Here is a 20,935-nt window from a genome sequence, read left to right as displayed (position 1 = left end):
ATTAATCATCACATCCTGTAAACTTGGGCAGGATAGAGACCTCTGGGAATTTGTAAATCTGTAGACATATTCTCCCCTTTTTCAAGTTTCTAAGGGATTATCTGCTGATTTCAGCCCCATTTAGGCCTTGATGCAATTCTGGTGTCATGTCAATTTTGAAATGTTACATAGTTGTCCAGTGTGACCAAAGTGGCTGTGGGCACCCAGCTCAGACCCGCACCTGCCACTAGGCATGTTTAATGTGGGTAACTGAGACTTGGCCACTCCTGGCTTGTTGTTTTGAATAGGAACTTAGCATCCTTGAGGGACATGGCAGTCCAGAGAAAGCTTTTGCTGCCCCTGACCTTGGTTCCTTAATTGTCCTCAATTATTGCTGCCATATGTTAAACTTCTCTCACTATTAATTATTTTTCTAATAATCTTCTTCTGCCCATTGTCTTTCTTTGCTCATTGTAACTTAATGTTATATGCCAGGAAGATTTAAAAAGTAAAAGTCAGAAAAAGGAATTGATACAGCTTGGTTGTCAGGCTTTATTTGTGTGCAGCACTTAGGTCTTGGCACCCATGGTCTCATTGGGAGGGCAGGTCAAACATGATAGTGTAAGCCACATGGTAGAGAATGATGTAAGGTTGTAAGGTGTTGTAAGGTGGGTTTTTCAAAATGCGGTTGGGATCCTTTGTCTCGGAGGCACCTGGGGAGCTTGTTAAAACTACAGACATACGGGTGTGGTGGCTCACGCCTGTAATCCCAGCACCTTCGGAGGCCAAGGTGGGTGGATCACTTGAGGTCAGGAGTTCGAGACCAGCCTGGCCAACATGGCGATACCCCGTCTCTACTAAAAATACAAAAATTAGCTGGGCATGGTGGCCTAGGCCTGTAATCCCAGCTACTTGGGAGACAGAGGCAGGAGAATTGCTTGAACCTGGGAGGCGGAGGTTGCAGTGAGCCGAGATTGCACCATTGCACTCCAGCCTGGGTGACAAAGTGAGACTCTGTCTCAAAAAAGAAAGAAAGAAAGAGAGAGAGAGAGGGAGGGAGGGAGGGAGGAAGAGAGAGAGAAGGAGAGAAGGAAAGAAAGAGAGAAAGAAAGAAGGAAAGAAAGAATGAAAGAAAGAAAGAAGGAAAGAAAGAAAGAAAGAGAGAGAGAGAGAGAGAAAGAAAGAAAGAAAGAAAGAAAGAAAGAAAGAAAGAAAGAAAGAAAGAAAGAAAGAAAGAAAGAAAGAAAAAGAAAGAAAGAAAGAAAGACTACAGACATCTGGGCCACACACCTGACTTGCTACATCAAATTCTCTGGCTGTTGATTCCAGGAAATAGCATTTTAAACAACTCCCACTCCTTCCTTAACCACTTCCCCTTAACACACAGGTGGCTCTGATGCTCACTTCACCTAAAATATGAGAACCAATCAAGGAAAAGGTTGAATGGAGGATGTAGGATTCAAGGCAAATCTTGGAGGAAGGTCGGAAGTTAGACAAGCAGAGAAGAGCTGAAAGCTTATTCAGACAGGGGGAGCCATATGAGCAAATTCTCCCAGGCAAGAATGTGCCTGTCTGTAATTAGTCCCTGCAGGTCAGAGAGTGGACTGCACGCTCTTCTTCTCCCATCCAAATATCCCTTGTAAGATGAAATTCTTTATTCACTGCAACTATTGCAACACACTTAATAAAGCTGGCCTTTGTGCTGTCACAAATAGGCCAGACTCACAGTAATCCTAATATTCAACTCTGGGGATGAGCATCTGTGTGCAGAGTGAAAGGTGGTATTTCCCCCCATCCAAGTAGGAAAATATAATCACTAAGGACCAATATCATTTATTTTGTTCTTGCTTTCTCCTACTTTATGTAACATAATGGTAGATGCCTAAAGGGCATGTTTTATAGAACCTGCCTGCAGTAGAAAATGTGGGAGGAAGGCTGTGGCATGTTACATTACAAAAATCCTAGGAAGCCTCGGGTAACCTTTGCTGTAGCTTCCCGCCTTCTGCTCACCCTCATTTTCTCTCTCACTCATCTATCTACCTCTCTCTGCCACCCTGGATTTTTCTACCTTTCTAGTGCTCACCCACCTTTTTAATTCTACTAGCCTAAACTACCTTACACATCTATCCATTGATTCTCTTTTCCATATCCGCTCTTATTTCTTTCTTACCCTCTTCCCATCTTACTCCTCCATACTGCTCTTCCATGTGAGGGCTGGAGGTGGAGGAAGTGACAGGATCCTGTGGAGTTCGTGAATCTATTTGTGGATAATGGGGAGTAGTGCTGCTTGTTTTGTGAAAGCTAAGGACCTGGGCGTGCAGAATCAATCACTGCAGGCGGTTCTACTGGCATAGAAATCAAATATGACATAAATATTATAATATATTGCCCTTTTTGTTCTCAAAGAACTTTACCAACATTAGCTCATTTTCATAGGCACCATAATTATCTCAGAATTCCTATAATGTAATATTTTTGCTTTGATTTAAGGTTTCCTGAGACCATTATAGTCTCCTTTATCATTGGAGATATCTCTGTTTTCAGCCATTGTTTATGCATTTTAGTTTCTTAAAATAATTTCTTTATACTTTTATGACTCCTTCCCTTTGGAAAACATAGTTATACAAACTCACTCTAAAGCCTCTCCAGGAAATGTGGGAAATGTGTTTTATTGGAAAATCAATAGCCCAGGATGGTGGTAGCAAAAGCCTCCACCTTTTTTTTTCCTGTGGTTTCTCACTGTCTATTTTATTCTGAATTCAGGCAAAGGTTGGTTGAGCAAAAGGATGCCCAGTTGTCCTTGTGAAGACAGAGTCAGGGAGGCAAAGGCAGTGTCTGGACAGAGTCTATTTTAGTGAGTTTGAATGGATTTCATCAGATCAAATTGTACTGCTCTGAAGTTGCTTGGCCTGGCAAACTCCTTGCCTTCTGAGTCACCACTGAGGCCTTCTGTTTGGGAGCACATAGCCTTCTCTGTCTGCTTCCCTTCTTATCCTTTTACATTAGATGCCCTGTGGCCTGAAAAATAAAGAACCAGTCTCAGAAGTTCATCAGTTGATCTTTTGAGATTGAAGAAAGCAATAAAGTTCTGAGTGACTTTGGGAAGGAATCCCAAACATCCACCCTGATGAACATTCCTGCTCATCCAACCACAGCAAGAGAAGTTCTATTTAGTATATTACTACTCACGTTTTTTTTTGGGGGGGGGGCATAATTTGATAAAAAGACTTATTAACCACTTTTGTCATTTTAATTTTGTAAAGTCCATTCTGCCACTCTCAAAACTTGCAGTCATAGGAGTTTAATGTATATTTCCATTTAGCTCTCCAGAACTCACTCCAAGGCAGCAGGAAGTGTCTGCGTGCCTCCCTCCCATGGGAAGTAACTGCCCTATGCCAGTGGTTCCAGCAGAGATGGGTACCCTAGAAAGTGTGTTGCCTCACCTAGCAAATAAACCCACTGGAGCAGGACACTTGGCATCTTTCTTGAAGAATCTTAGCAATTTCAGGTACAAGAGCCCCAGATGGTAGCATTTTAAAGGGAGTTGAAATATTAAGGCTATTTCAATGGGGGAGAAGCAGAGTGAATTATATCAACCACGGAATTAAAGTAGTGTTTGTTTTAAAAATCACATTTTATGATGAAAATAATATCTATGATTTTTCTAATTTAAAAATTCCCTTCAAGCAATGACTGTTTGCTGTTGTTTTTCTTTATTTCAACAGATACTATAATTCAGGGACTATGACAGTTATAGACAACAGTGCTTTAAGGGAGGGTGACAGCTGGGCATGGTTGCTCATGCCTGTAATCCCAGAACTTTGGGAGGCAGAGGCAGGAGGATAGTTTGAGCCCAGGAATTCAAGACCGGCCTGGGCAACATAGTGAGACTCTGTCTCAACAAAAAATAAAAAATTAGCTGGGCATGGTGGCATGTGCTTGCAGGCCGAGCTACTTGGGAGGCTGAGGCAGGAGGATCATTTGAGTCTGGGAGGCCAATGCTGCAGTGAGCCAAGATAGCACCACTGCACTCCTCCTTGGGTGACACAGCAAAACCCTGTCTCAAAAACAATCAAACAAACACACAACAAAAAATAAATGAATAATTAAAAAAATTTAAAAAATGTTAGAAAGGAAGGGTGAGGATGTGAGATGGCTTGTTACCAGACATGGTCTTTTTAGAAAAGTGTGAACAGGCCAGGCATGGTGGCTCACACCTCTAATTCTAGCACTTTGGGAGGCCGAGATGGGTGGATCACGAGGTCAGGAGTTCGAGACCAGCCTGGCCAATATGGTGAAACCCCGCTTCTACTAAAAATACAAAAATTAGCTGTGCATGGTAGCATGCACCTGTAGTCCCAGCTACTCAGGAGGCTGAGGCAGAAGAATCACTGGAACCCAGGAGGCAGAGGTTGCATTGAGCCGAGATTGTGCCACTGCACTCCAGTTTGGGCGACAGAGTGAGACTCCGTCTAAAAAACAAAAAAAAAAAAAGAAAGAAAAAAAGAGAAAAGAGAAGTGTGAACAAAAAGATTAGAAGATTTAATTCCCTCCCGAATATAAAAGGGCCCTATCCTTTTTGAATCTCAACACCAATACTATAGATAACCAAGTAAATATTTTATTTTTATTTTTATATTTTTTGAGACAGACCCTCCCTCTGTCGCCCAGCTGAAGTGCAGTGGCGCGATTTGATTTGGGCTCACTGCAACCTCCACCTCCCAGGTAAAAGCAATCTTCCTGCCTCAGCCTTCCAAGTAGCTGGGATTACAGGCATGAGCCACCATGCCCAGCTAATTTTTGTATTTTTAGTAGAGATGGGGGTTTCACCATGTTGGCCAGGCTGGTCTCAAACTCCTGGCCTCGAGTGATCTGCCTGCCTCGGCCTCCCAAAGTGCTGTAATTATAGGCATGAGCCACTCCCCCTGGCCCAAATAAATATTTTAAATAAAGCAATGTGCATATGAGCCTTACCTCCTCCTTTTTACTTAATAAAATATAGTACTGTTGAATTCTAGTGCATTTCTCTCCATTTCTATGAATTAAAAAAAATGAATATCAGTGCTGAGTATAAGTGATTACTTGAGGAACTGCAGTGAACAACAACACAGATGGACAAAGAGCTATCATGATGAACAAGCTTGAGTATTGAGGGCCATGACCCTGCATAAGGACTTGGAGTCAGAGAAAAAACAGAAGAGTTTTTATTGACAGGTGAGAAATTTGTGCTTTGTTTTTAAATAATAGCTTTACTGAGGTACAATTCACATAGCATAAAATTCACCATTTTAAAGTGTGCAATTCACTGTTATTAGTGTATTCACAGAGTTGCACAATGATCGCCACTATCTCATCTAATTTCACAACATTGTTATCACCCCACCAAAAAACCTTCTATCCATTAGCAGTCACTTCCCATTTCCCATTCCCTCCAGCCCTTGGCAACCACTAATCTACTTTCTGTCTGTATGGATTTTGCCTATTCTGGAAGTTTTACATACATGGAATTCTATAATGTGTGATATTTTGTGTTTGGTTTCTTTCACTTAGCATAATATTTTCAAGGTTCATCCATGTTGCAGAATGTATCAGTACTTCTTTCTTTTTATAGCTAAGTAATATTCCATTGTATGGTTAGACCAGCTTTTATTTATCTATTTATCAGTTGATGGACTTTGGGTTGCTGCCACTTTTTGGTTATTATTACAAATGCTGCTGTGAACATTCATGTGCAAGTTTTTGTGTGGACATATGTTTTCACTTCTTTAGGAGCAGAATTGCTGGGTCACATGGTAATTCTATGTTTGACTTTCTGAGGAATGGCCAAACTGTTTATCACAGTAGCAGTACCATTTTACATTCTTACCAGCAATTGTAAGAGTTTCAGTTTCTCTACATCCTCACCAACACTTGTTATTGTCTGCTTTTTTTTCTTTGTAATATAACCACCCTATTGAGTATCAAGTAGTATCTAATTGTAGTTTTGATTAGCATTTTCCTAATAGTTAATGATGTTGGGTATGCTTATTGGCCATTTGTATATCTTCTTTGGAGAAATTTCTATTCAAATTCTTTGCCAACTTTAATTGATTATTTTTGTTGTTGAGTTGTAATAGTTCTATATATATTGTGGATACTAGACTCTTATCAGATATATGATTTGCAAATATTTCTTCCATTCTATGAGTTGTCTTTTCACTTTCTTGATAATGTCATTTAACACACAAAAGTTTTTAATTTTGATGAATTCCAATTTACTTATTTTTGTTTTGTTTTGCTTTTTGTGTCACCCAAGAATCCATTGCCAAATTGAAAGTCATGAAGATTTCCTCCTCTGTTTACTTTAAGACTTTTGTAGATTTAACTCTGAAATCCATTTTGAGTTAGTTTTTGTATATGGTATGAGGTAGGGGTGTAAATTCTTTCTTTTGCATGTGAATATCCAGTTTTCTCAGCACCATTTGTTGAAAAAAAAGTTCTCTCCCCACTGAATGGTCTTTTTTTTTAATTGACAGATAAAATTATATGTATTAATTGTGTACAACATGATGTTCTGTCATGTTTAGTCATTGTGGAATGACTAAAGCTAGCTAATTAACACACATATTACCTCACAGAGTTATCATTTTTATGGTAAGAACAATTAACATTCACTCTCTAGGCATTTTTTAAGAGTACAATATATTGTTATTTACTATAGTCACAATGTTGCACAAGAGCTCTCTTGAACTTATTCCTCCTAACAGATGTTTCATATCCCTTGATCAACATCATCCCAACCAGCTCCCCCAACTTCCCCAGCCCCTTGTAACCACCATTCTATTATCTAGTTCTATGAGATCAACTTTTTAAGATTACACATATGATGAGATCATGTGGTATCTTTCTTACTATGCCTGACTTATTTCACTTAACATAATGTCTTCTAGGTTCATCCATGTTGTTGCAAATGGCAGGATTTTCATCTTTTTAATGACTGAATAGTATTCCATTGTGTTTTGTTTTGTTTTGAGACAGGGTCTTGCTCTGTCACTCAGACTGGAGTGCAGTGGTGTGATTCTGGCTCACTGCAACCTCTGCCCCCTGGACTCAAACAATCCTTCCACCTCAGCCTCCCAAGTAGCTGGGGCTACAGGGGTGCACCACCACACCTGGCTAATTTTTTAGTTTTTTGTAGAGACAGGGTCTCACCATGTTGCCGAGGCTGGTCTCAAACTCTTGAGCTCAAGCAATCTGCTCTCCCCAGCCTCCCAAAGTGCTGGGATTATAGGCATGAGCCACCATGCCCAGCCTCCATTGTGTTTTTATACCATATTTTCTCTGTCCATGCATCCGCTGATTTCATATTTTGGCTATCATGAATAATGCTGAAATGAACATGGGAGTGCAGATATCTCTTCAACATACTGGTTTTATTTTTATTTTTGGAATTTGAATCTGTCAATATCCACAAAATAACTTACTGAGATTTTGATTGGAATTATGTTGAATCTATAGATCAAGTTGGAAATAACTGACATCTTGATAATATTGAGTCTTTCTACCCATGAATATAGGATATCTCCCCATTTATTTAGTTCTTTGATTTCTTTTACCAGAGTTTTGTAGTTTTATTTGTATAGATCTTGTACATATTTTCTTAGATTTATACCTAAGTATTTCATTTTTAGAGGTGCTAATCTAAATATTATTTTTTTGTTTCAGATTTTGTTTATTGCTGATATAAAGGAAAATGATTGACATTTGTGTATTGACTTTGCATCTTGCAACCATGTTATAATCACTCATTAGCTCCAGAAATTTTTTTGATTTATTCAGATTTTCTACATATACAATCATGTCATCTACAAATAAAGACGGTTTTATTTCTTCCTTCCCAATGTGTATACCTTTTATTTTTTTCTTATTGCATTAGCTAGGACATTCAATATGATGTTGAAAAGGAGTGGTGTGAGGGAACACTCTTGTTTTGTTCCTAATCTTAGTAGGAAAGCATCTGGCTTCTTACCATTAAGTATGATGTTAGATGTCGGGGTTTTTTGTTAGCTTTTTTTTCCCTTTTTTTTTCGTAGCTGTTCTTTATCAAGTTGAGAAACTATTCCTAGTTTTCTGAGAATTAAAAAAAAATCATGAATGGATGTTGTATATTGTCAAATGCCTTTTCTGCATCTGTTGATACGATCATGTGATTTTCCTTCTCTAGCCTGTTGATGTGATAGATTACATTAGTGATTTTTTGGAATGTTGAACTAGTCTTGCATACTTTGTTAAATCACACTTGGCTGTGTTGTAGCATTCTTTTTATCTATTGCTGGATTTTATTTGCTAATATTTTGTTGATGATTTTTGTAACTATGTTCATTAGAGATATTGGTTTGTAGTTTTCTTGTAATGTCTTTGGTTTGGGTATTGGGATAATTCTGGCTTCATAAAATGAGTTAGGAAGTATGTATTCTCTCTGCTTCTGTGTTTTGGAAGAGATTGTAAAGAATTGATATAATTTCTTCCTTAAATGTTTAGTAGAATTTACCAGTGAACCTATCTGGGCTTAATGCTTTCTGTTTTGGAACGATGTTAATTACCAATTCATTTTCTTTACTAGATGTAGGCCTATTCAGATTATCTATTTCTTCTCTTGTGAGTGTTGGCAGATTGTATCTTTAAAAAGCTGGTCCATTTAATCTAGGTTATCAAATTTGTAGGCAGAGTTATTAATAATATTCCTTTAACATTATTTTAATGTCCATGGGATCGCTAGTGATATCCTGCCATTTCATTTCTGATACTAACAGTTTGTATCTTCTCTCTTTTTTTCAATGAAGTTCATCAATTTTGTTGATCTTTTCAAAGAGCCACCTTTTGGTTTTAACTTCCTCTACTGATTTTCTGTTTTCAATCTCATTGATTTCTGCCCTAATTTTTATTATTTCTTTTCTTCTGTGTGCTTTAGATTTAGTTTGCTCTTCTTTTTGTAGTTTCCTAGGGTGGAAGTTTAGATTATTTATTTTAGATCTTTCTTCTTTCCTAATATATGCATTCAGTGCTATAAATTTCCCTACAAGCACTGCTTTCACTGCATTCCGCACATTTTAATGTTCTTCTTTCATTTCCATTTAGTTCAAAATATTTTAAAATTTCTCTTGAAATATCTTTTTAGAAAATAAATGTATTTTGAGATGTGTTGTTTAATCTCCAAGTATTTTTCTGTTATTGATTTCTAGTTTGATTACATTGTCGTCTGAGATCATAGATTGCATGATTTCTATTCTTTTAAATTTGCTAAGGTGGGTTTTATGGATCATAATGTGGTCTGTCTTGAGGAATGTTTCATGTAGGCTTGAGGAGAATATGTAATCTGCTGTTGTTGGATAAAGTAGTCTATAGATGCCAACTCTATCCAGTTGCTTGATGGTACTATTGAGTTCTAGTATGTCCTTACTGATTTTCTGCTTGTTGGATCTCTCCATTTCTGATAGAGGGGTATTGAAGTCTCAACTACAATAAATTTATCTATTTCTACTTGAAGTTCTAGCAGTTTTTGCCTCACTTTTTTTTTTTTTTTTTTTTTACCAAGTATTAAATCACAGGAGGAATTTACTCCAAGAATGCCAGTCAACATACTGGACAATGTCTTTAACTATAGTTTACAACAATAGTTTACAACTATGATGGCCTTTTATATAGCTACTTCTAATGTCAGTTCTCACTGAAATGCATAATATTAAAATATAACTCAGCCAAAGAAAATGTTTCTTTTGTTCATTTCTTTTGTTCCTTTGTTCATTTCTTGGAATAGCAATTAGCAAGTACCAATGTGTGTAAAATGCCTAAAAAATACACAATGCCATTGTCAAATATGTTTGAAAAACACAATATCATATTGGCCCTGCTTAGAGATTCAAAATATATTTATCATACTAAAAGTTCTAAAAAGCTATGCATAAAGAAATTTGTATAAATTATTTAACAGTTTTTCATAATTGTTATTGTCATTCTTTGGGAAGTTAGATATATCAATATACTTTCAGATTTATCAATATACTTTATTCACCTGGTCTTTGAATGAGAATGGGTTAAATAAGCAAATTTATTGTCATTTGCACTGACAAGGAACTAGAGTGTTAATTTTTTTTTATTATTGATTGAAGGGAGAACGCTTCCACTGCAATTTTGATGGAAGAGTTTTCATTTGATTATAAAAGTTGTGCCTCATGTAGTTTGATTCTGTTTTTAGGCACATACATATTAAGGACTGTTATGTCTTGTTGGAGAACTGACCTCTTTATTATTATGTAATGCCTCTTTTATTCCTGATAATTTTTCGTGCTCTAATGTTTGCTCTGTCTAAAATTAACATAGCCACTCCAGCTTTCTTTTGATTAGTATGAACATGATATCTCCTTTTTCATCCCTTTACTTTTAATTTATAAGTGTCTTTATATTTAAATTGAATTTCTTATTAACAGCATATGGTTGGGTCTTATTTTTTGATTCACTCTGAAAATGTCTGTCTTTTCATTGGTACATTTAGACCACTGACATTTAAAGTGATTATTGATATAGGTGGATTAATGCCTACCATACTTGTTACTGTTTTCTATTTGTTGCCCTTTTCGTTGTTCGCTTTTTGTCTTCCACATTTTTTTGCTTTTTGTTTTAATTGAGCATTTTATATGATTCCATTTCTCTTTTTTCACTTATCAGTTATATTTCTTTAAGAAAAACATTTTTAGTGGTTGCTCTATGCCTTGATAGCTAGTCCCAGTTCACTTTCATATAATACTATACAAAGATACATACTATATTCGCAGGTAGTGCAAGTACCTTATAATAACATAGTATTCCTAATTATTACCTCCCATCCCTTGTATGATCGCTGTCACTCATTTTACTTACACATAAATACACATTAGTATATACACACACATAATCAAATACATTGCTGCTATTATTATTTTGAATAAACTGTTATCTATTAGGTCAATTAAAAATAAGAAAAAAGTTTTTATTTTATCTTTACTTATCCCTTCTCTAATATTCTTTCCTTCTTCATGTAGATTCAGATTTCTGACCTATATTGTTTTTCTTCTCTGTGAAGAACTTCTTTTAACATTTCTTGCAAGGCAGGTCTAATGGTGACAGTTTCCCTCAGTTTTTGTTTGTCTGAAAAAGTCTTGATATGTCTTTCACTTTTGAAGGATAATTTCACAAGATACAGAACTCAAGGTTAGTGGGTTTTTCTCTCAACACTTTAAATATTTCACTCAACTCTCCTCTTGCTTGCATTGTTTCTGAGGAGAGGTCAGATGTAACTTTTATTTGAACTTCTGTATAGATAAACTGTTTGTTTCCCATGGCTTCTTTCAATACTTTTTTCTTTATTTTTGATTTTCTGGAGTTTGAATATCACATGATTAGAATTTTCTTTTGCATTTATCCTACTTGGTCTCTGAGCTTCCTGGATCTGTGATTTGGTGTCTGACTAATTTTGAGTAAATTCTCAACCACTATTGTTTCAAATATTTCTTCTATTATTTTCTCTTTCCTCTCCTGATATTTCCACATTACATGAATGTTGCACCTTTTGTAGTTGTCCCACAGTTCTTTCATATTCTCTTCTATTTTTACCCCCAGTCTTTTTCCTCTTTGCTTTTTGGTTGTAGCAGTTTCTATTGACATATTCTCAAGCTCAAAGATTCTTTCCTCAGCCATGCCCAGATCACTATTGAGTCCATCATGTGCAGGCATTCTTCATTTCTGTTACAGTGTTTTTAATCTCTAGCATTGCTTTTTGATTCTTTCTTAGAATGTCTGTTTCTCTGCTTATAATATCCATCTATTCTTGCACGTTGTCTACTTTTTCTGTTAGAGTCCTTAGTATATTAATCACAGTTACTTAAAAACACTGGTCTGATAATTCTAACATTCCTGTGTTACCTGACTTAAGTTCTGATGCTTGCTTTGTCTCTTCATACTGTATTTTTTGCCTTTTAATATGCCTTGTAAATTGTTGTTGGAAGCCTGACATGATGTACTGGGTAAAGGAACTGTGGTAAATAATCCTTTAGTAATGTGGTGGTAAGGTGTAGAAGGAGGGGAAACATTCTATGTTTCCAGATTAGGTCTCAGTTTTTAATGAGCTTGTGTCCCTGGACTGTGAACTTCACCCGTGCTTCCTAGTTCTCCCGCTTAGGTGGGACAGGATGGCTAGAAAGGGCTGGAGTTGGGTTATCTTCCTTCCCCCATGTGGAAGGCTAGAGCTGGCTGGAGTTGCTTATTGACCTTCCCCCATAACAGTTAGCATCTGATAAAAATTCAATAGGTTATGCTCAGGCCGGGCGCAGTGGCTCACGCCTGTAATCCCAGCACTTTGGGAGGCCAAGGCAGGCGGATCACCTGAGGTCAGGAGCTCGAAACCAGCTTGACCAACATGGTGAAACCCCCATCTCTACTAAAAATACAAAATTAGCTGGGCGTGATGGCGCATGCCTGTAATCCCAGCTACTAGGGAGGCTGAGGCAGGAGAATGGCTTGAACCCAGGAGGTGGAGGTTGTAGTGAGCCGAGATTGTGCCATTGCACTCCAGCTTGGGCAACAAAAGCGAAACTGCGTCTCAAAAAACAAAAACAGAAACAAACAAACAAAGCAAACAAACAAACAAAAAATAGGTTATGCTCTGGTAAAATAGTTTCTCCTGAGGGCAGACCTTGTTAAGAAGAATAGAGTGCTCTGGCATATTCAAAAAGGCAACTTTTTCCCTCCCTCTGCCTGAAGCATGAGGGTATTTTCCTCTAATCTTCACTGAGAGAAACTGGAGCTTAAACTCACAAAAGTGTGAGTGTGCTGTCCTAATATTGGGCCCCTGGAGTTCCTAACTCTCAGACTTGCCTGTACAGAGCCCCCAGAAGTTTGTCAATTACAGTGTAGGTTTTTCTGCCCTAGTGCTGGTTCCTGTGGAGGCTTCTGCTTGTGGACTTCTGCTCTGGTAATTTGTGATTCTCTTTATCTGCCTGTTTCTCCAATTTTTGGAGTAGCAGTTTTCCCTGTGACCTCTCTTTTCTGACAGATTTAAGAGAAAACGATGGTTTATTTCAGTTTGTTTAGCTATTTCCTTCCTGTTAGGATGGAGTAATGACTTCTAAGCTCCTTACATGTCAGACTGAAAAATGAAAGTCTTTTTTTTCTTTTTTAAAATAGGCATTTATAAGTATATAGTTTTCTTTAAGCACTGTTTAACTGCACCCCATGAGTTTTTGTATGTTGTGTTTTCATTTTCATTCATCTCAAAGTAGTTTCTAATTTCCATTCTCGCGCTTGGACTTTCTATAGAGGGGAATATTTCTATTCCATTACTGGGTTAATTTCCGAGAACATCAATACCTCCAGAACCCTGCATTTACACTTTTAGAGGGTAGTTTCTGAGGAATAGAGGAACTGAAAGTAGACATGAGTGGCTGGGTATAGGGGTTACAATTTAAGCCCGAGCTTTTGAAGCCATCCTGTGTTCTTCTAAGCCAGTGATTCTCAACTGGGGGCAATATTGCCTTTCAGGTGACATTTGGCAATGTCATGGCAATGATATGGGCATTCCATCACAACAAAGACTTATCTGGTTTGAAAGGTTAATAATGTTGCTATTGAGAAACCCTTTTTTAACCCTTTAAATTGGTAGGTCTGTTTCCCACTTACCCAGCACCTATCTGTACAGTGTGTCACTACATCTTCATAATGGTCCCCCAGGTAGGTGCAATATCATAATCTGAGATGATGTAAGCAAAGTTTTAAACTGAAGCAACCTCTCAGTCAGCAGCAGAGTCAGGACTACCACCCTGCACTCCAGTGGTTTCCCAGAGAACCCACGGTTACCAGGATCTCCACTTGTTTTGACCATTCCACCTTTCAAAAGCAGATCATCATGCATTGTCTTGTGAGTATATGGCTGGCATATTGGTAGGCTAATACACTTCTCCTAGTTAAGGACACTTCACTCTGTCTTGTAACTCTCTGTTTAATGTCTCTGCAAATACAGTATAAACTCCCTGTGGGCAGCACGGCAGTTGGCAGAATAGGCACTCAGTCGATTTTGTTGAATGAATTAGAATATATGAAAGAAAATATACCAGAATGTTAACTGGGTTGTCCCTAAGAGCTTAAATGAAGGTTTTTAAAATTATTATTATACTTTAAGTTCTAGGGTACATGTGCACAATGTGCAGGCTCGTTCCATAGGTATACATGTGCCATGCTGGCCCACTGCACCCATCAACCCGTCATTTACATTAGGTATTAAATGAAGGTTTTACCTGTCACTAGAAGAGGCTTGGAAATGGGTTGTGACATGACCCTAGAACTGGTAGGGGAAGAGAAATTGTGATCCCCCATATTGGTTGTTTTGCCTATAGGATTCTAATTACATTAATAATAATAATGATAATTTTTATTTCTCTTGTTAAATTCCTCACACTTCAGCCTACTTTGTTCTTTGAATTGTTTATGGTAGCACCTTTTGCCTTTAAGAAAAGACTAGTTTTAACTCTGCTTAAAAATTCACTGTATCCTCAGATTTTGTTCCCCAAAGGTCTTATCACAAACATAACTTAAACAAAAATCTCTTGTGATGTTTGTTATCACAGTGATCCTTAAATTATACTGACATTAAGTCTCTATGTCTAAGGTAGCTGGCCTCAATTTTCTCCTCCATAAAAGAGGAATAATGATTCTTTGTTAACTAACTGAGAACTTCCTGAGGATAAAATCATTTACAGCACATGAAAACATTTTAAACAGTACTGTGGGGTTTGATGTGGTCTCACATCTGTAATCCCAGCACTTTGGAAGGCTGAAGCAAGAGGATTGCTCCAGACCAGGAGTTTGAGACCACCCTGGGCAACATAGAGAGATCCTGTCTCTACAAGAAATAAATAACCAAGCAGTACTGTGTAAATCGCAAGGCCCCTTCAGTTATGGGCAACTGAAAAATTGTATTCATATGAATTGTGCAATATAACCAGTTGTCATGCAATAATTAAAGTAGTTTGCTAGATTGAAAGAAAATGCATTCAGATTTTGTGTTCCTTGCTTGCAATGGTAGCCTGAGTAAATAGGACCTTTTTTCTTCCTAGTAATTTGGTTAAAAGATCAAAGCTACATTTTGCCTTAGACTATCGTGATGATTATAATACATTGACTTTTTTTTCCATAGGTGTTACAGAACATCCTGGACACTGAAAAAGAATATGCTAAAGAACTTCAGTCTCTTCTTGTTACTTACTTAAGACCCCTGCAGTCCAATAACAAGTAAGATGTTTATTTTAAATCCCTCACTAAGTAAAGCAACATAATGTCAACATATGGAATCATTATTCTTATGTCACTGAATAATTGATTTTGCCCTTTAGAAGAATTTCCACAGATCACAGGTTGCCAAGAACATGGTCAGGGCAACAGAAATTATGCAAGATATTGCTTTTGGAGAGCTTGGCTTTCTTTCTCTTCTGGCTGTGAAAGGAATGAGCAGATCTGTGTTTCTTCCTGTCACAATTTTTATCTTGTACATTAAAAAAAAAAAAAGTGATGTGCTTGGTTTTACCTTACAGGAAAAGAAGTCCCTGGTGCTTTTATTCAGAAAGCACATAAACTGGAAATTCTCATGCTCACTCTGACCTTTGTTTGCCAGGGCAGAACTTCTTTCCCATGCTCTGAGAATGGAAAGAGTATGGCATTTTGTGAATGCTTGTAAGAGCTATTCAAGCCATTATTTCACCCAGGCAAATGTGAATGATAAAGAGATGCTAAAGTGTTTTTAAAGACAAAATGTTCAAACCTTACTCTGGTCTTAGAAATCTGAAGTGATTGTGTAAAGCCTGAATTGAAAGAATTGAAAGCTTTAGTTTTCATGAAAGAAAAGTAGTGACCATTTTTTTTTTATCCTTGTAGGCACAGCATATTTAACAAATAGTGGTGAACTGCATTTATTTGTTTTTATTTTAATTAATTAAATTTCACTAGAGATCATGATCATATAGAAAATTTACCAGTCAGCCCATATAATGCAGAAAAAACCCCTCTCTTTTTACCTTGGAAAGAGTTTACTATTGCTAAACAGTTGTCTAAACTATCAGCTTCAAACTTAAATAAGTTAATATATTTGAGAAATTTGGCCGGGTGTGATGGCTGAAAAGCCTGTAATCCCAGCACTTTGGGAGGCTGAGGCGGGCAGATCGCTTGAGGTCAGGAGTCCAAGACCAGCCTGGCCAACATGGTGAAACCTTGTTTCTACTAAAAATACAAAAGCAAATTAGCCGGGCGTGGTAGTGCAAGCCTGTAATCCCAACTACTTGGGAGGCTGAGGCAGGAGAATCGCTTGAGCCTGGGAGGCGGAGGCTGCAGTGAGCCAAAATCACATCACTGCATTCCAGCTTGGGAGACAGAGCAAGACTCCATGTGAAAACAAACAAACAAACAACAACAACAACAACAAAACCAAGCAAACAAAAGAAAAAGAAAAGAAAAAATATTGTGAGAAAAATTCTCCCCTTTTCCAAATTATACTTGTTTAGTTATAATGCCTTTGTTCTTGCTAAATTTCCCACTTGTTTATTCTCCTGGCACTATGGAAATCTACTTCAGTATGAAAAAATTTTCTATTCCTGTGTTGTAAGAGTTTAAACATGATCAACAACAAAGTGTTTTTTGGGCCAGGTGCAGTGGCTGGCTGGGCACGTTGGCTGACGCCTGTAATCCCAGCACTGTGGGAGGCCGAGGCGGGTGGATCACTTGAGGCCAGGAGTTCAAGACCAATCTGGGCAACATGGCGAAACCCCATCTCTACTAAAAATACAAATTAGCTCGGCTTGGTGGTGCGCACCTGTAGTCCCAGCTACTTAAGAGGCTGAGGCAGGAGAATCGCTTGAACTCGGTAGGCGGAGGTTGCAGTGCGCCAAGTTCATGCCACTGTACTCCAGCCTGGGGGACAGAGTGAGACTCCATCTCAAAAAAACAAAACAAAACAAAACAAAAAACAAAGTATTTTTTGTTATTATCATGTGAAATATGAAGTGTTCTGTGAATCATATTTCTTAGAGCTGAAGTAAATCTGTAAATCATTGGGTCTAGTATCCTGGGAGAAATGACTATCTCTATTAAATAGAGAAGAAGCTGAAGTCCAGACAGGTTTACTGCCTTGCCCATCCCACAGCCAGTACATGGCCAGGCTGGAGCCACTGTGCCCCCTGCTGCCAAGTGAAACATGCTTTCTGTTTTCTGGAAGTGACAGGCAGAGGAGATGGAAACTGAAGTGGTAACTCTGGGAGGGGAGACGGTAAGATTTTAAATGAAGGAGAGGGACTGATTAGTGATCAAGAAACAATAAGAGGATTTAATGAGTTCTTTTCCTTTGGCTAAATACTCAGTAGTGAGATTGCTGGATGGAATGGTAGATCTACTTTTAGCTTTGAGAAAACTCTGTAGTGCTTTCCAAAGAGGCTGTACTAATGTTAGTACTAATGTACTAACATTCCCACCAGCAGTGTGTAAGTGTTCCCTTTTCACCACATCCACACCAACATCTATTATTTTTTACTTTTTAATAATGGCCATTCTGGCTGGGCGGAGGTGGTATCTCATGGTTTTAATTTGCATTTCTCTGATGATTAGTGATACTGAGCATTTCTTCATATGTTGGTTGGCCATTTGTAAGTCTTCTTTTAAGAAGTGTGTGTTCATGTCATTTGCCTGCTTTTTGATGGGATTATTTGTTTTTTTTTCTTACTGGTTTGTTTGAGTTCCTTGGAAAAGAGTCAGGGCCAAGGAGGTGAGAGACCTGAGTCAGACCTGTACTGTTCCTAAATGAATTCAGAATGCAGTGATAGTAAGTTTCCATTACTTCTCACTATCTTGTCGGCCCCAAAGTGATTTGAGCAAACCAGACTGACTATTATCTGATCGTGAAGGGGCCAGATAAGCCCCCAGTCAAGTTCAGGTAAGGCCCCAACTTAAGTTCTCACTGCTCTGAGAGAGCAACAACCAGGGAAGTTGGTTGGCTAAAGGTTTCACTTTAGAATAGGGGTTTTCCAGCTTGTGATTCAGGATGGCATTACAGCAGAGGAACTGGCAGTTTTTTATTCTCTCAGAGTTACTGGTAATGTTTGTTTTGGTCTTCTTCCCTTTCTTTCTTAGTCAGCAAAAAAATATTCTCTTGGGAATACTCCCCTGGTATTCTATATATATATATATATATATATGTATAATATATAATATATATATTATATAGCATATACAATACACTCCACCCCCAGGCTGGAGTGCAGTGGTGAGATCTCGGCTCACTGCAACCTCTGCTTCCCAGGTTCAAGCGATTCTCCTGCCTCAGCCTCCTGAGTAGCTGAGACTACAGGCATGTGCCACCACGCATGGCAATTTTGTATTTTTAGTAGCGATGGGATTTCGCCATGTTGGCCAGGCTGGTCTTGAACTGCTGACCTCAAGTGATCTGCCTGCCTTAGCCTCCCAAAGTGCTGGGATTTCAGGCGTGAGCCACCACACCCGGCCTAGTGTTACTATACACTTAAGGAGAAGAACATGTGGCAGACATGGGCTTTTTTATTTTTTGACAGAGTCTTACTCCATCACCCAGCCTGGAGTGCAGTGGCACGATCTCAGCTCACTGCAACTTCCGCCTCCCAGGTTCAAGCAATTCTTCTGCCTCAGCCTCCCGAGTAGCTGGAATTACAGGCGACTGCCACCACACTCGGCTAATTCTTTGTATTTTTAGTACAGACGGGGTTTCACCATGTCGGCCAGGCTGGTTTTGAACTCCTGGGTTCAAGTGATCCACCCGCCTCGGCCTCCCAGAGTGCTGGGATTACAGGCATGAACCACCACGCCCAGCCCAACCTTGGCTTTTTAAACAAATCTTCAGAAACGTTTTCTCCCAAAAAGTGGTTAAGAGCATGGACTCTGCAGCTAGAATGTTTTGGTTCAATTTCTGTCTTTGGCATTTCCTGGCTTTGTACCTTTGGATGATTTGCTTAACCTCTCTATGCCTGGGTTTCCCCACCTGTAAAATGGAAACAGCACTGGCATAATACCTACCTTAAAGAGTTATTGTAAGGTTAAAATAAGGTTTTAATTGTAAAATGCTTGTGTAAGTGTTCAGTGCTCTATGAGTGTTGACTCTTGTTATTATTATCACTTACTGTTTGGTAGGGGAGGAATGGATAAGAACATTCTTCATACAGAGGCCCTGGATAAAGTGGTTCAGTTTGCCTTTATTTGACTTCACTCTACTCCAGAAACAAACAAATCAATACTATTTTTTTCCTCCTACTTCATCTCATAAAGATTTCCTTTAATTGATGTATGAGCATTTTAGTTTAGGAGAAAGTTGATTTTGCTATTTTTTCTTGTGTATTATATGAGCATATATAATATCTTTCAATTACTGTTCCAGTTCATCCAGAGGAAGGTACTCAAGAGTTTTTTACACTTATTCACAGCTATGATGTATTTTTATCTATTTGTATACTTCAGTATTAAGCACTTGTTTTAATTTACCTGTTGCTTTATAAAATACCTAATTGTCCCTTACGACCACTCCATTTCTTTAGGATCATTATTCTTATTATATAAAAGAAAATCAAGGGGAGAAGCTTAAGAAGCTGCCTAAGACAATAGAGTTGTTATAAATTAAAAAGCAAAAGTTAAAATATAGGTATTACCTCCCTTTTATTTACCATATATTAGCAAACTATTAGCCAACTAGACTACAATAGATAACTACATGTACTGTATTTTTTTTTCAGTCTGAGTACTGTGGAGGTTACATCTTTACTGGGAAACTTCGAGGAAGTATGCACATTTCAACAGACACTCTGCCAAGCCTTGGAAGAATGTTCAAAGTAAGTGTGGCATATTTCTGATAGGATAGCCAGCAACATTGCTGTTTGTGTTTTGTTTTCCTTTTACCTGTTGCCTTTGATAAGGACACTTCATAGTTAAGTATTTGTTACAGCTCTGAACAAAGTAGCAATACATAGACAGTGTACTAGGTGGCAGTGTTCACAGTGTCAAACCACTAGTTGTATATTAGAAGTCTATATCTTGTAAATTACTTTTGACTTTATTTAAAAAATACATCAGTTTGCTGTTTCTGGTCAGTATAAGAGACACATAAGGTCTTTTTTTTTTTTTTAATGTTCCTTAAAGTTCTGGGATAAATGTGCTGAACGTGCAGGTTTGTTACATAGGTATACATGCGCCATGGTGGTTTGCTGCACCTATCAACCCGTCATCCAGGATTTAAGCCCTGCATGCATTAGGTATTTGTCCTAATGCTCTCCCTCCCCTTTCACCCCACTCCCCGACAGGCCCCAGTGTGTGATGGTCCCCTCCCTGGAGACACATGAGGTCTTAATTGACCATGAATGACACCTCTGGCACTGATTACATATTTTCTTTTGTACATTGCAAATTACTTGGAAAAGTCATTCAAATGATTCATTCAGTTTCACAGATTTGGTGTCTTTGAATTGCTCCTGATACTATGTCTATTATATTAAGAGTTGAAACACACAGAAAGTGGGGGAAGGAAAAGTATATCTTTATGTGAACCAACACATTTTTGATGGCTAGCTAGATTGTCCAGATGTTTAACTTCATACTACAGTGAACTATAATGATCATCAGGCAATATGTCTCTATAGAAAGACTAATTTTTCAAGCAGCGTATCTTAAAGAAGTTGGCAGCTTTCATCTCTCTAGGGAAATTGAGGTGATTACCTGTTATTTAAGCTTAATAGGACACAGGTGGTTGTCCAGGAAGAACGATGGAGAGGGCCCACACTAAAGGGACTTGAGGGGCCAAGAGGGATCTAGATTATTGATATGCAAAGATGTTCACTAAGCGAGAAGGGCAGATTACAAACTAGATTCATAATCCTTATGTTTTCCATTTTAT

General features: G+C 38.1%; 1 protein-coding gene across 12 annotated transcripts in view; it reads left to right on the top strand.

The window, feature by feature from the left end:
- Positions 1 to 20,935, top strand: part of ARHGEF6 (Rac/Cdc42 guanine nucleotide exchange factor 6) — a 115,383-nt gene that overhangs the window by 52,381 nt on the left and 42,067 nt on the right. For all 12 annotated transcript variants that reach the window (NM_001440993.1, NM_001440996.1, NM_004840.3 and 9 more), the window contains 2 exons: positions 15,182 to 15,276; positions 19,782 to 19,877. In NM_001440993.1, coding sequence (NP_001427922.1) covers positions 15,182 to 15,276; positions 19,782 to 19,877 — 191 coding nt within the window. The remainder of the gene's footprint in view (positions 1 to 15,181; positions 15,277 to 19,781; positions 19,878 to 20,935) is intronic.

Source organism: Homo sapiens, chromosome X (genome assembly GCF_000001405.40).
Source record: "Homo sapiens chromosome X, GRCh38.p14 Primary Assembly".
In the NCBI taxonomy this organism is placed as follows: Eukaryota; Metazoa; Chordata; class Mammalia; order Primates; family Hominidae; genus Homo; species Homo sapiens.
This window is presented reverse-complemented; position numbering and strand designations above follow the sequence as displayed.